At 43.0% G+C, this 16528-nt stretch overlaps 1 protein-coding gene across 3 annotated transcripts in view, besides 1 other annotated feature; it reads left to right on the top strand.

Moving 5' to 3' along the window:
- The window catches only part of HEXA (hexosaminidase subunit alpha), a 35091-nt gene that overhangs the window by 2278 nt on the left and 16285 nt on the right, over positions 1–16528 (top strand). The gene's annotated exons all lie outside the window — the stretch shown is intronic.
- Positions 7403–7552: an enhancer, noted in NCBI's record as "active region_9719". NCBI's record gives its function as "activates an Ori minimal core promoter by ATAC-STARR-seq in GM12878 lymphoblastoid cells {active_cell/tissue: GM12878}" and the evidence as "EXISTENCE:reporter gene assay evidence [ECO:0000049][PMID:35858748]".

Below are 16528 nucleotides of genomic sequence, written 5' to 3'. Positions count from 1 at the left end.
ATGAGCCACCGCGCCATACCTAATTCCTATACTTCTAAATTAGGCCTTCACCTCCATTGCTATAGCACCATAGTTTAATCAAGTAGATAGAAATGGAGAGATTGTAAGATAATGGAATACTATAAATTCCCTAACAAAAGAGATTTAGAGCCAGATAAATTCAATAAGATGTTTATTTCCATATATTACCTTCCTGTAAGTTCATTAGCTTTATTAGTTGAGGGTTCTTGTCCATTGAGAGAAAATGAAAACTGGGTTGGGTGAACATTACCAAAGACTTAAAAGTAACTTCTTTCTCTATTGCTCTTCCCATGGAGTCTTCCCTTTGGAATGTAGTTTCCTGTGGAGGCTTTTAGGTGACTTTGAGCTAAAATCCTAGTTCTGCAGAAACAAGGATGAAGCAATAGCATGGGAAACAAATAGAGGTAGAGCAATACCAACAAGGCTGAAGCCAGAATACATTTCTTTATGAGTCTGATTTTAGTAAAGAAGGCAACATATGCAGGTTAAATCTTAACTAACAGATTTCCATCCTCTTCCTCCAAACAACTTATTTGTAGGCTCTGGGCCAGTAGGTTTTGTTTGTTTGTTTGTTTTTGTTTTTTTGAGACAGAATCTTGCTTAGTCACCTAGGCTGGAGTTCAGTGGCACAATCTTGGCTCACTGCAACCTCTGCCTCCCGGTCTCAAGCAATTCTCCCACCTCAGCCTCCTGAGTAGCTGGGACCACAGGAGCATGCCACCACACCTGGCTAATTTTTGTATTTTCTGTAGATGGGGTTTCGCCATGTTGCCCAAGCTGGTCTCCAATTCCTGAGCTCAAGTGATCCCCCTGCTTTGGCCTACCAAAGTCCTGGGATTACAGGGTGGAATGAGCCACCTGACCAGCCCAGTGTTTTTCCTAATGCAATACAACTTCTGGTTTTTGTCTGAACCTGAAACTAAGAATTCATACTCCCTTTTCTGAAAAAGAAGTCTGGTATTGAGGTTCAGTTCTATTTTGAATTCACCTTCAAGGGTTAGTCCCACCAGTTGCTAAATGGTCTGTGAAGGTGTTTAGTATTTGCCACCTTTCTTTGTCATTGAGAGGTGTTTCTACCAATTGGAGGGTGTGTGTTGCATGTTGTTGAACCTGTTAAATAGACTTATTTTAGGAACTAGATACTTGAATGAATCTAGTTCCCTGTTTGATTATTAAGCCACATCCTGTTTGCAAAGCAAAGATGTGATTATTTGGAATTTGGAATGGCACCCATCTAATGTTGCTCCAGACATTTAATAAGCATGGTGTGGAGCATGGTGCTTGATGGAGCTGATAAAGTCCAAATTTTTCCAAGTAAAGTGGCTAAGTCTAATTCTGCCATTAGACTGCATTTTTTTTTTTTTTTTGAGATGGAGTCTTGCTCTGTTGCCCAGGCTGGAATGCAGTGGTGTGATTTTGACTCACTGCAACCTCCACCTCCTGGGTTCAAGTGATTATCCTGCCTCAGCCTCCCAAGTAGCTGGGAATTCAGGCACCCACCACCATGCCTGGCTAATTTTTTATTTTTTAGTAGAGACGGGGTTTAGTAGCGATGGGGTTTCACCACGTTGGCCAGACTGGTCTCGAACTCCTGGCCTCATGTGATCTGCCCACCTCAAGATTACAGGTGTGAGCCACTGCACCTGGCCATGACTGCATTCTTCTTTGCTTTTCCTGAAACTGGTTGATAGAAGCCATAGTATATCATAGATATTATAAGGTTCCCATCCTGGTCTGATGTTCACCTGCACATCCCTGTGAGTTGCTGAGGATGCCATTGTCCTTCAACAGAATAATCCTGCCCCCCTTCTCCAGCCCTTTTATTCTGGAATGGAAGTAAGATTATTATATAAGAGCCTGTGTCCTTCTGCAGCCATTATCAGTATTTGATTTGCTCATCCTCAGATATTAAAGAAGTGACTAAATTAATAAATGGCATAGTTCATTATAATCTGGATCTCCTAAAATACCTTCTTTGGCCATTTCTTCTGTATCTGGAACGTTGTAGATATGTAGTAATTATTTGTAAAATATATTAACGTTAAAGAGCTACTTTGTGTAAACATTTGTAAGAAGGCTTTATGGGTTTGGGTTTTGTTTTCTTTTTTTTTTTTTTTTTTTTTTCTTTTAGAGACAGGGTCTTATTTTGTCACCCAGTCTGGAGTGCAGTGGCACAAACACAGCCCACTGCAGCCTCGACCTCCGAGGCTCAAGCTGTCCTCCCATCTCAGCCTCTTGAGTAGCTGGGACTACAGGTGCATAGCTAATTTTTGTAGAGATGGAGTACCACCATGTTGCCCCAGCTGGTCTCGAACCCCTGGGCTCAACCACTCTGCCTGCTTCAGCCACCCAAAGTGTTGGGATTACAGGTCTGAGAAGATCATCAAAAAGATATGATTTGCAGGTTTTCATTGAGGATTACCTTTCCTTTCAGGTTACCAATTTGGAGTGTAAGTGTGTGATTCCAGGCAAAGGATAATCACACTATGCTGCTTATTGTGTGATCCCAACTCGTGCTGCTCTTAACTCAGCATGCAGTGAGAGATGCATTGGGATTGCATCTAGGAGGGAAACAGATAAGGTCAAGCAGCTGGGCTGGGGAGAAAGAATAAGGCCGATTAGTTCTCTCCACTTTAATTGGGCTAGCGGCTAACTATACTTTAACCTTTCCCACGGCAAAGACAAGGCATATTCCTGCCAAAGATGATTGCCACTAAGTTTATTGTTTTAAAAGCAAAGAGGAAGAAAACAACACGGGAAGAAGGTTTTGTAGTAGAATTACTTTTTCTCATGAAGGGGTTTCTGGAGAACGAGGGATACATAGGAGAAATACAGTGATGAATAAATTGTCTTTAGAAAGAAGGTGATGGCAGAAGCACAGTTTTTAGTTGAAGGGCAAAATAAGTGTCATATTTCATTTTGAATCCCAGGGCCTAGATTAGCTTGGCCTGCAGTCTTCCACCAGCCTCTCTTCTCACAGCCCTGTTTTTTTCTTTTCTTTTCTTTCTTTTTTTTTTTAAGAAACAGGTCTTTCTCTGTCATTCAGACTGGAGTGCAGTGGTGTGATCACGGCTTACAGCAACCTCGAACTCCAGGACTCAAGCAGTCTTCCCGCCTCACTGATGAGTAGCTAGGACTACAGACGCATGCCACCGCACCCAGCTAATTTTTTTATTTTTTGCATTTTGTAGAGATGGGGGTCTTACTGTGTTGCCCAGGCTGGTCTTGAACCCCTGGCTTCAAGCGATCCTCTTGTCTCGGCCTCCCCGAGTGCTGAGATTACAGGTGTGAGCCACCATTTATTACCTAAAGCATGATACTTTTCTAGTATCCCTGTATAGTACTGAGTCCAAGAAGCTAAACTTGATCAAGGTGTATGTGGGTAGCCTGGGCCTGGTTTATGAAAAATTTGAGTTTTATTTCTGTGAGCTGTAGGTGTTCCCCTGCTTTGGATATTCTGTTTGAACACAGTATACATTGGAGGACTCAGGATGTGGAACATGATTCATTCAGGAGTCAGCTGAGAAAGTGTTTATTAACCCCTTAACTCTGTGCCTTCAGACTAATTGCCTAATTTCCAAGCTGTTGCTGCTACTTCCTTTTTTTTTTTTTTTTTTTTAACTCTGCCTGCCTTCCAGACATTTCCGAGGATAACAAGAAAATAGTTATGAATGTTTTTTCAGTCTTTAAGGGAGGGTATAATAGTGGGAAGAACTTGGTGATTTTAAAAATAAAACAATAAAAATTAAAAGTCCAAGCCCCAGAGATGCCTTTCCTTCCATTTCCTTCTACCCCAGTTCCTTACCTCCAAACAGGAGCGAGAAGCATAGCATTGGAAGGTTTTTGACAATGGATACCTTGTCGTTTTGTTGTTGTTTGTTTTTAACCGTCTCATGCTAGGGCATGTTGTCTGTTTCTTAGCCTGTTCAAGGCATAAGCCTCAATCCCTTTCCTGTTGTTATATAGAGGGAAAGGAGTTTTACAGCCTTACCAGTACTTCTTTTAAGAAATAAAGCTGGGCATGGTGTCTCATGCCTATAGTCCCAGCTACTCCAGAGGCTGAGGTGGGAGGATGGCTTGAGCTCAGGAGGTGGAGGTTGCAGTTAGCTGAGATCGTGTCATTGCACTCCAGCCTGGACAACAGAGCCAGACCTTGTCTCAAACAAACAAACAAACAAACAAAAACCTAGAAACAAAAACAAAAGAAAGGGATCACTCTTATGTTTCTGCAGTTTCCTAAATTTCTTCTACTGGTCCTGAAAATAAGTGATAAAATAGAGTCAATTTGCATCATCCTCAAGAGGTTCCATGACCTTTTTGGAGCCACTGACAACAAAGTCAGCTGAAGAAAGGAGGTTGGGTCTGTAGGGGTCAGAGAGGTGTATGTGTGAAGAGTTTTCTGTGGTGTGAGCTGTCTCAAGGTTTACATGTTTACAGTCCATTGTAATACAGAAATGGATTATATTTTCTTCTGTATTCCTGGCTGTAATGAATAAAACCCATTATTGGGTCAGGAACTTGAGTCTTCTCTCTTCTTGTCCTTTGTTCCTGTTTCAAGCTGTGGCATTTGCTTAAGCTTCCTGGCCACACACTCAGCCCTGATCCCCAGCCAACTGCTGTATGCTATTGTTGTGTCCACATCTTGAGGCTGGTTAGGCTTGGGTGTGGTGTAGAGCTCCTTTCTGTGGAAGCGTATACTCAAAAATACAGGACGTATGGGTGTTTGTCAGCTGTCATTAAGCAGCCTTCCCCTTCTTTTGTAAAGCTCTTGGGATTGAGGGGGTAAGAGAGATGCCTTACTAGGTACACTGTTATGCATGAAAAGTTTAACTACTTACTGTTTGTTCAACCTTGTCCTTGTTGTAACTAGGATTCCACATTAGTGGCTTTGTTGTTTTGCCTGGAGCTGCAGTCCTAGGTTGGGGGAGATTCAGAGTTCTAAGGCCATGTCCCTCTTGTATTTTGAAGTGTCAGCCTGTTCATATACAGAATGGCATCTCACAGTAGTGAAGCCTTCAGTCTCCTATAAGAGGCTCATGAAAAACCCTTCAGGGAAGCTGCTCCTAGAGTGTGGCTTTGCCATAGGAGACCCTGCCCCAGGACTCCTCTGGCCAAATGAGAGAGTCGAGGTTTGCTGGGGCAAAACTGTCTTATTGGGAAAAGGGAAGTAGAACACGGAAGGAAACTAGCATTTATTGTCTGGCACTTGATGTATGTTATTGCCCTTTAATCTTCATAAACAGCTCTGTGAGGTCAGTGTTATCCCAATCTTTGAGAATGGAGACATAGAGGCTAAGTAACATGCCCAGGGTTACACAGCTTGTAGGGATGGAGCAGAAATTCCAGTCATGCATAAATTTTGCTTTTGTCACTGTACAGTCTTGTAATATACTCATACACGTCTTTGTCAGTCCAGTTAGCAATTTGGAAAACTACTGGCCTCTGGCAGGATTAAGCTCTAATCACATCTTAGTGTTAATTACTTCAAATAGGTAGTAACTTCTAACATCTAGTTACTCATAAGCACTCAGGTTATGAATATTTTGATCCCTGGCCCATTGTTACCAGATTCCAGTAGCATTTCTTCCTTCCTCCCATCTATTCTTAGTACAGGTAGTATTTATTAAGTAACTTTAATTGTCAATAGTACTAGGTCCAAGGAATATTAAATTGAACTTCCCCGTCCTTAAAGAATTTACAGTTTCTGGAAGTGGGGATACAGACAGAGTGTGATATTTTTCTATGATAACTGAAGCACAAGGTACTTTGGGAGTGCAGAAGAGGAACACCTGACCTAAGTGTATGGGGGGAAAAGGAGAAAGTGCACATTGAAAAGGCTTTCCTAGAGAGCTGTTGAAGGAGATCTAAAAGTAGAAGTTAGTGGGGGTGAAGATAGTATTCCGCATAGAAAGAACTGCGCGTGGAAAAGGCCTACAGGCGAGAAGCCTTCATGCCATATTCAAGGAACTCAAGGTGTCTAGCTGAAGTACACAACTCTAGGGTGGATCAGCAAGTTCTGAAGCTAAAGAGGTGATAGATGGAAAGGTCATGAAATGGCCTAATAAGCCCTGGTAAGGAATGGAGCTTTATCCTAAGGTCAAAGAAGGCCAGTAAAGTCCAGTCAACAGGATAAGTGATGTGACTAAACTCTAGCTACATTGGGGCTTGCTGTAGAGTGGGATTAGAGGCAGGAAACCCAGTTAAAAGGCTGCCAACAGTGGTCTAGATAAGAGAGAGTAGTGGCTGAAGTTGGGTTGATGGCTGTAAGGACAGAGAAAACTAGAAAGACTGAAGAGAGATTTAGGAGGTGGCTGCTTGGAAGTGGGAGTTAGGTTGGAGGGAAAGGGTGCTGAGGATGACTCCCAGATTTCTGACTTAGCAGTTTGAATGTTGGCTCTCATTCACTCGTGCTGCCATTAACAAAGATAGGGAAAATAGTAGGAGAGGAAGGGAAGGAGTAAAAAGAGCTAAATTGGTGGTCGTGGTGGCTCACACCTGTAATCCCAGCACTTTGGGAGGCTGAGGCAGGTGGATTACCTGAGGTCGAGAGTTCGAGACCAGTCTGACCAACATGGAGAAACCCCATCTCTACTGAAAATACAAAATTAGCTGGGCATAGTGGTGCATTCCTGTAATCCCAGCTACTCTGGAGGCTGAGGCAGCAGAATCGCTTGAATCCAGGAGGTGGAGGTTGCAGTGAGCCGAGAGTGCGCCACTGCACTCCAGCCTGGGCAACAGGAGTGAAACTCCATCTCAAAAAACAAAACAAAAAAAAAACAGTGAAATTAAGAGGTTGAGAGGTAGAGTGAGAATCATGAAAAGTAAATTTGATTTTGACGTGTTGACTATGAGGTATCAAGCAAACAGTTAGCTATGTAGTACTAGAGCTTGGGAGAATGAGTTTGAACACTTCCGAGGAGAAGAAGGTCCAAAAGGCAACCACAGGAGGGTGGTTGAGGAGGAGGAGGAGGATGTTGTTGGATGACTGCTAAGCCAGAACATGGGTTAGTTCTTCCTCTTGGGTGTGAAAATCATCTAGGATAATAGCCAGCCTTGAGGTGGAGAGGAATACTGGGCAACAGGATCCAAAGTATTAAGTAAATAAGGTTGGGCATGGTGGCTCACACCTGTAATCCCAGCACTTTGGGAGGCTGAGGCTGTGGGATCACTTGAGGTCAGGAGTTCGAGACCAGCTTGGCTAATGTGGTGAAACCCCGTCTAATTTGTAAAAATAGAAAAATTAGCCAGGTGTGGTGGTGCACACCTGTAATCCCAGCTACTTAGGAGGCTGAGGTAGGAGGATCACTTGAGCCTGGGAGGCGGAGATTGCAGTGAGCTGAGATCGCGCCACTGCACCCCAGCCTGGGCAACAGAGGAGGACTCCATCTCAAAAAAAAAAAAAAATTAAGTGAATAAAGAAGTGATCAGGAAGCTACAGAGTGTTGTAACAAGGAGAGCTGAAGATTTAACAGCTGGATGACATGAACCACAGAAGAAAGGTGTTTTATTACTTGGTGGTGGTGGAATGGATGACCCAGAAGCAGCCCCATATCTCAACCCTATGATGTGGGAAGTGGCTGCCTCTCAGAGCATGTTGTAGGGGAAGTGGTGTGTGGTATTCCTGGGGAGAGCCAGGCTTCAGTTAGGGAGGAAGTAGAAGAGGCTGAGTAATTAAGTAACTACACAACAAGATCTCAGAGGGTTTACAAGGTGAATGATATGTAGTACACAGGTGGTCTGGTGGAGAAGAGGAAGCAACATGTATAAAAATAGAAGTGCAGGACCAGAAGTGAGCAAAGGGGGTTATATATTGGGCAAAGTGACAAAATATGGTAGAGATATGACATGGCGGATTTCCCTGACAATAAGATTACCAAGAAAATAGATTCCAGAGACAAGCAAGCATGTGTATATATGTGGGAATTTAATATATGATCAAAGAAGTATTTCTGATCAAATGTGAAAAGATGTATTAGTCAATAAATACCTAAGGATGACTGGTTATCCAATTGGGAAAAAAATAAATCCTTACCTCATATCAAACTCAAAAGTAAATTCCAGGGAGATTAAAGATCTGAAGATAAAAGACCATTGAAGTGTTAGACAGAAATGAAGGAAACTATTATTATAATTTTAGGGGTAGAGGAGGCCTTTCTAAGTAAGCAAATAAAGAGACCGTAAAGGAAAAGAGTCATAGCTTTGACTACATAAAAATTAAAGCAAAAGAAAGCATAAGGTTAAAAAATAAGGGATAAAATGAGGCAGATATTTGCAACAAGTCAATAAAAGAAAAGTAACTTTAAAAAGTAAAAAGAATGGCTGGGTGCCGTGGCTCACGCCTGTAGTCCCAGCACTTTGGGAGGCCAAGGCGGGTGGATCATGAGGTCAGGAGATCTAGACCATCCTGGCTAACATGGTGAAACATCGTCTCTACTAAAAATAATAATAATAATAAAAAATTAGCCGGGCACGGTGGCGTGCGCCTGTGGTCCCAGCTACTCAGGAGGCTGAGGCAGGAGAATGGCATGAACCTGGGAGGCGGAGCTTGCGGTGAGCCGAGATCGCGCCATTGCACTCCAGCCTGGGCGACAGAGCGAGACTCCGTCTCAAAAAAAAGAGTAAAAAAAATTTGGCTAGTAAATGCAAAGAAATGCTTGAGGCCAAGAGTTCAAGACCAGCCTGGGCAGCATAGTGAGACCCTGTCTCTACAAAAAATAAAAATAAAAATTAGCCTGACATGCTGGTGCACGCTTGTAGTCTTAGCTGTTTGGGAGGCTGAGGCAGGAGGATCACTTGAGCCTAGGAGGTTGAGGCTGCAGTGAGCTATGATTGTGCCACTGCACTCCAGCCTGGGTGACAGAGCAAGACCCTGTCTCTAAAAAAAAAAAAAAAAAAAATTAAATTAAAACTTAAAAAGAAATACAAATTGAAATTGAAACAATGTATGTGTTTTTTTAAATCCAGCTGGCAATGGTGAAAAAGAATTGAGATGTTCTAGTGTTGGAAAGATGTGGAGAGATGGGCCCATATATGTGGATTTGGGTGTAAGTCAGTACAGTAACTTGGAAGAGGAATTTGGCAGTATCAAAACCAAAACTTTTCTTACCTGTGGCCTAGCATTTCCACCTCCAAGAATTTATCCTACAGATATCTTTCACAATTGCTTATATACATATATATGAATATTTGTTTACTAGAGTGTTGTTTATAATACTAAAAACTTAGAAACATTACCGAATGTCTACAAACAGAAGAGAAGTTAGGTAAGTTAATGTATATCTCATCATTGGAATTATATTCAACATTTACAAGAAGGATGTAAATCTATATATATTGACATTAACAGATCTACAGCTCATTTTGGTAAGGGGAAAAATGTTACAAACTAATAGTATTAGGATCCCATTTTTTTTTTCTGTTTTTGTTTTTTGTTTTGGGGTTTTTTTGAGACAGTCTCGCTCTGTCACCAAGGCTAGAGTGCAGTGGCGTGGTCGCTTGGCTCACTGCAGCTGCCACCTCCCAGGTTCAAGTGATTCTCCTGCCGCAGCCTCCCAAGTAGCTGGGTTTACAGGCGCCTGCTACCACGCCCAGCTAATTTTTGTATTTTTAGTAGAGACAAGGTTTCGCCATGTTGACTGGCGAACCTTGAAGTCGTTCGCTGGGCTCGAACTCTTGAACTCAAGTGATCCACCTGCCTCAGCCTCCCAAAGTGCTGGGGTTGCAGGTATGAGCCACCTAGCCTGGGCCCATTTTTATTTTAAAAATTAATAAATTTATGTATTTACAAAAAAATTGGAAAATTGTGCAAAATGTTATAACTAAAGTTATCCCTTGAGATCTAGAATTTTAGGGAGATGTTCTCTTTCCAGTGGGGATAGGGTTGGGAGGGACAGATCAGTTTTAAAAGTAGGGGAAAATAGAAAATTTTTAACTACAGCTTTTCCCAAAAAAAGATGGGTACAACTTTTACCCAAAAAATATGGGATGGGAATGAGAGGAAGGAAGAACATTCAGGATTCATCTGTGGGCTGGAGAGAGTGATACTTCCAAGTAGGTATTAATAGTCTGTGGAGGGTGAAGAATCTTGGAACTTACAGGAGGAGGTACCATGATCTAGACTAAATTCAGCAGCACTAAGGAGAAGGCCCCAGCTCAGGGCAGTCGGCTTCACAGACTCCCACTTTACTGGGATAAGAAGTTTGACAAGGTTGGCCTTGACTTCTCTCCTAGCTACACCAATTCACTTCCCAGGCTTGGAATACCTTTTCTCCTCTTGGTAGCTTGGTGAACACCAATTCAGGGTTCAAGATCCCACTCAGAGGTCCCCTTCAACGTCAAGCCTTCCACCTTTCCTGGACGTGGCTATTAAATCTACCATAGCCCTTATCACAATGTTTGTAATTATTGTTTGTGTTCATCTCTCCTGCTAGACTGTGATCTCCTCAAGGGCAGGGACCAGGGTTTGTTTTTCTTTTTAACTGCCCCAGCACCTAGCACAGTTCCTGATGCACATTAAATGCACAATATATCTTGGTTGGAATGAAGAAATGAGTGGGAAATGAATGATATAATGGGCTTTTATTAGGCAGAATATGGGGGAGATGAAACCTGGATATGATGTGTATAAAGGTGGGAGGGGGAAGAGAAGAAAGTGGGCATGGGAACAAACTTTGGCACCAGCCTAGGAGGGTACCAGGGGATATGGGAGCAGAGTAGACATTAAAGAGTGGGAAGGTGGCAAAGTCTGGGTTGCCTTTCTTAGTTTTCAATCCAGAAGCAAAATCAGCTACCACTTTATAACCGAAACCAATGTGTTTTTTTTCCATAGTGCTGGGATTCTGTGAATCAAACACATTGATACGATGGAAGTGTTTTGATTCAGGAGGGAACGGGTGGTAGAGGGAAAGGCTATTGTGCACTGAGGTAAAGATTGATAGTTTCCAGGTTACCCTAATAGTTATTAGTGACCCTAATACAGCAACGAGTTCTTCCTCTCAGAGAAGTGGAAAGACCTAAATCTTAGAATTTATGGATCCAGAGGTCTTCAGAGCAGTGTCTGAAAAGGCACTTTGTGTAAGTCTGGGCGTCTTCTTAGCATCGCCCACCCCAGTCTCAGGATTTCAGAAATACTAGGTTTGGGGATATAAAAGTAATCTCTACATTAACTACTTGCTATTTATGCCTGATTATCACATAGCACAATCATAAAATATGCATTTTTTGAATTCCAACATCATTCATTTTTTCAGCAAACATGTACTGAATGACTGCTGTGTGTCAGGCACTGGGAATACAAAGACACTGAGATTGGTCCCTCCTGTTGAGGAACTCACAACCTAGGTGAGGAGATAGACAAATAAACAGCATATCTTAAGAAAAGTGTTTTGAAAAATGTATGTATACATTGCTGCATGATCACATAGGAGGGTTTCTTAGGAAAGAGGGGGGGAATAACAGAAAAGTTTCCTAAAAGGAAAATAGAGCTGTTTCTTAATTAGGGGAGATGTGGCGGGAAGGCAAAGTTTGTTTCAATTGGAGGAAGCAATATGTGCAAAGAAAAATATGGAGAAAATATGGCATTTTCAGGGTTCTGTTAAGAGTTCATTGTTCATTGTGAGAGTTCCTGCACAGGAGCAGAAAAAGACAAGGCATTTTCTTATGATTACCCAGTGAATTCTGGACTGTATTCTGAAAGCTATGGGAGCCATTGGAAGATTTTAAGCGGAGACTGTCATGCTCTTATCTTCATATTCTAATATCTCTGAGGATAGTAGATTGACATGGGTATTCCTGGAGGCAGGGGAAGACTGCCTGGGAGATTTTTTATAGTCATCCAGGTGAGAAATTACAAGAGGCTGAATTAAGGCTTTGGCCCAGTGGGGCTGGGAAAATGGCGATGTGTTAAGAGATTATAAGGATTGTGTAATTGTAAGACTTTTAAAAAGTATTTTTACTGTTGTAATCTCAGTGCTTAACACAATGTTTGAGATATCAGACAGTCTGTAAATGTTATTTTGAGTTGATGAACTTGTGATCTACTCAGTTAGATGGAAGGTGTAGAAGAAGGAGATTTCTGGTATAGGTGAATAGATGGGGCTGTTATCAAAGTGAGAGAGAGGATCAGCCAGGAGGAGGAATGAAGAGTTAGATTAGTTTTATGTTTAAGATTCAAGTGGCTTTTGAGACATTTGAGTGGAGGTGTACAAGTCTAGAGCTCCAGAAGAAGAGTTGGCTTGGAAAGATAGATTTGGGAGTCATTGGCCTGCTGTGGGAGTGGATGACATTGTCTAGGGAGAGTGTAAGCGAAGGGAAAAAGAGAAGTTTGGAACCTTGGATACCCTGGGTAACATTAGTACATTGGGATTGGTAAAGGAGAAGTTGAATGAAGAAGCATATTCAAGGAGTTAGAAGGAAAACCAAGAGAGCAATGTCCCCTAAGCTAAGGGAGTTTAGTTTCAAGAAGGTCAGAGATGTCTGATGCTGTCAAGAGGTCCCAGAAGGAGTGAGTGGTTTCTATTAGCTCTCTGACAGCTGGGATTTTTGTCTGTTTTGACCACTGCTGTATCCCCAGCACTTACAACACCCTGGCACATAGTAAGCATTCAGTAAATTACTGTTGAATGAATGAATGAATTGAAAAGAGTCCCTTGAATTTGGTTACAGAACCACAGGACTTTGGTGAAGCCATTTTGAGAGAAGTGGTGGTGAAGGAAGCCAGATTATAGTGGATTGAGGAATAGATAGGTTGTAAGGAAGCAGCTACAAAATACTAAGTATGACCAACATCATGAGCACATAGGAGGTACCAGGCACTGAGCTAAGCACTTTACATGTATTAACTCATTTAACCTTCCCAGCAGCCCAATTATATAGGTATTATGATCCCTATTTTACAGTTGAGGAAACTGCAGCTTAGAGAGGGTAAATAACTTGCCTAGAGAAGGCCTGCAGCTAGAAAGTGTTAGAACCAAGATTTGAATCCAGATCTGTCTTCCTTTGGAGTTCAGGTCCTTAGCTGCCCAGGCTACATTTCCTCTAGGGAGTCTTTGTGGCAGGAAGGCAAAAGAAAGAGTAAGTGAGGCCAGGAAGATTGCAAACATTTTAATGCTGATGAGAGTTGAAAGAAATAATTTGAAGGCTTTGGGAAAAGGGGAAATAATTTATACAAGAGGAGACTGAGAAGAGCTCCAGAGCACAGGTAAAAGGAAGCCCCTTCCATCAAGGTGGAGGTCCAGGAGAGGGTACAGGCAGGTGTGTGTTGCAGATATTTTTGTCAGCGAGGAGAGGGGAAGAGGGTAGGGATAGTTGAAAGTTCTCTTCTGATTGTCTGCTGAGCATAAGGGAGGTGGTGATCAAGTAGACTTGAGGAAGGTGTAGAGAATAGAATGAAGCAATGATGGAGATAGAAGATTTTCAGGGTAGCATCAAGGGCCCAGCCAAGATGGAGACCATTATTTTGCAGTGGTCCAGTCCTGCTGTTTTGTGATTTTTCTCCCTTCCCTCCAGTAGGGTACAGTAGCCGGGGTCAGGGGCACAGCAGGCAGATGTTAGATTGATCCAGGGTTGAAAGTTTTGCCCATTGGTTGTGACAGAAGAAAAGAGACAGATCGTTGGGAGTATTGGCTAGATTGCGTTTGAGGTGATGAATCACTACATGTAGGCCAGCAGGGAAGGAAGCAAGAATGAGAGAAGACTGAGAACAGAAGGGAAATGGAGGGGTCATAGTACTGGAGTCTGGAGAAGGTTCAACAGTAGGACTTTGGTGATAGAGCGTCCTTGTTATTAGAATTCCATGTCCAGAGGTGACCTGTCTGTGATGAATAAGGCAAAATTACTCTATAAGGTACTACAGGGGTAGAAAACTACCAGTGATGTTTGTCTCTTTACTGAGGGGACTAAGGAAGGGTACCAAAGATACTTTTTTTTTTTAATCGTAAATATTTTCTACTGTTTGGTAGTACTGTTTGATTTTTTTTTTAACCAGTATGTACTACTCTTTTTTTTTTTTTTTTTTTTTTTTTTGAGACAGTTTCACTCTATTGCCCAGGCTGGGGTGCAGTGGTGCAGTCTCTGCTCACTGTAGCCTCCGTCTCTTGGGTTCAAGTGATTCTCCTGCCTCAGCCTCCTGAGTAGCTGGGATTACAGGGCCCACCACCATGACCAGCTAATTTGTTTGTATTTTTAGTAGAGACAGGGTCTCACCGTGTTGGCCAGGCTGGTCACTAACTCCCGACCTTAAGTGATCCGCCTGCCTCAGCCTCCCAAAGTGCTGAGATCATGGACCTGAGCCACCGCACCAGGCCTATACAACTGTTTTGATTTTAAAAAAAGATACAAAGTTTTCAGTGAACCCAAAGAGAAGAGTAGGTTTACATGAAAGCAGGGAGATGAGTGAGCTGCAGAGGTAGCAGGCTGTGGTCCTGGAATGGGACCCTGGAGTGTATTATCTGTCTATGGAATCACAAGGTCTTAGATCTGAAGAGGAGTAGCTGGAATCTGGTCCCACCCTGCCATTGTTTACAGGGAAGGAAATGGGAGCCCTGAGACTTGCTCAGCTTGGCAGCAGCAAAACCAGAACCAGAAGCAACCTGTCCTGATTTCCCAGCCCTCTGGTCTGTTTTTCATGCTACCTCCTAAGCCCTGGAGGCTTCTCAATTTCCTGCTGTTCCAGCCAGACTCATGGCACATGTGCTCATGACATTGCTGGCTGACCGGGCTGTTTGCCATACTGTGCTTCCCACACGTTGGTGCTTCTCAGTGTTCAGGGTGTGGGCGGGTGTGTGTAGAGGCGGCTGTACTACTGTCCCCTGCCTATTTCCTGCCCTCTTCATAGCCAGGCAAAGTAGCAACTTGGAGGCGGAAAACCACAGTGGTGATACCCTATTTACATCCTTTACAATGACCTAGTGTCCCTCCTGTTTTGCCAGCTCTCATGTTGCTGCCTCCCCCAAACATCCCTCTCATAATTTGTTTAAACAGCAGCCATGCCCCCGTATCTACTTCTTTCAGCCCAAACCCAGATGAGTCACTGAGAGAACTTCGGACAGGGATTCTTCACCATGAGATTGATGGCAGGGAGTGGAAGAATTGTAATTCTGGAGAAACAGCCCTTAAATTAGGGGCATTGTTCTGGGAAAAAAAGTGTTTTCCTATTCAGCAGATCTGCAAAGGAGTCTGTGACTCTCCAAAAGACTACAGATTTAGGGAGTACAGTGCAGGTGTCTTTTAGAAAAATAAATTTTTTAAAAATCGAAAGATTAGGTATTTTTCTGTCTTCCAAGTAATAGTTCAGATAAACCTGGTGTTTGTGTGGCCTCTCTTATTTTGTCATGAGGGCAGCGAGCCATGGTAGTTGCATATGGATTAGTTGTGATTTCTCCTTATGTGGCAGGCTGAGCCCCAGAGGATTAGAACTAAAGCTCAGGACTTCGGCTGTCTTTTGGATGGCTGCCTGGGTAGATATGCAGATGAATTCTCCACACAATGATATTGGGGCTCCATGATGTGTGGGGTTGGGAGTGGGGGCAAGAAGTCAGAGGATGGGGTATAGTTTTTCCTCACCCTTGCTCCTAGGTTAAGTCCTCATTGGTCTCCCTGTAGAGTCTCCTGTGGAGATGGGTTTGTAGCCTGTCTGCTTGGATGGCCCTGCAGATTCTGCCTTGAGTGTGGTCTTTGCCTTGAAGGTCTGCTTGTCCTTTTGTGTTGTAACAATGTAGTTTTAGGGTTCAAGTATGGAGCTGTGAATTGACCTGGCCCAGAGTTGCCTCAGATTCCCTCCTCTTTGCAGAATGTAGGCAGGTATTGGTGTGGGGATCCAGGGTATTTACTGGTAAGGGAAAGAATGTGTTGTTCATGATGGTAGGAAAGGCCCCCTTATTGGCTTGCTTCTTGGCAGACCAAAGAGCTGAGATACAGCCATGTGGTAGTGCTCAAGAGGTCTGAGCAGGCTTCCGTGAGATGATCTGAGCGCTTGGATTCCTTCTGCCTGGAGATGGGTAACATTTGAGATTCCAGTTTGGTTCTGAATTCTCTCATTGCCTTCTGCCAGGCCATCCTATCCCTGACATTGTAGTGCCATAAGAAGTCATGGATGTTGTGATGCCAGTGGGATGAATATGGCTCCAGGAAAGAATAGAATAGAGAGGGGTTCATTAAGTTAAGGCTTGGGGCTATAACACCAGAGCCACCCTGAAAATCACAGGGAAGAACCAGCAGGAGGGTGAGAAGAGACAGTGTATTCATATTTTGGCTTTGGCATTTTTTCTGCATAGACAAGGGTCTGTAAAGCTATATTAGATACTATGTTGGTTCAACCCTCCACTATTAGGGTAAAATCTACCTTGGATAGAGAACCTGTTTGGGAAGAGGAAGGAAGGAAGCAAGATGGGTGGGTGACCCTGATCTTCTCTGAGGTATCAGTTGCATCATCTCAGGCCTCCTCTGCCTGATCCTTCTGTCATCTGCTCCATTAGCTCCTAGGCTTTTGCAAAACTGGAAACCCTTCATC

Source organism: Homo sapiens, chromosome 15 (assembly GCF_000001405.40).
Source record: "Homo sapiens chromosome 15, GRCh38.p14 Primary Assembly".
In the NCBI taxonomy this organism is placed as follows: Eukaryota; Metazoa; Chordata; class Mammalia; order Primates; family Hominidae; genus Homo; species Homo sapiens.
The sequence above is the reverse complement of the archived record's forward strand: the minus strand, read 5'-3'. Positions and strand labels throughout refer to the sequence as shown.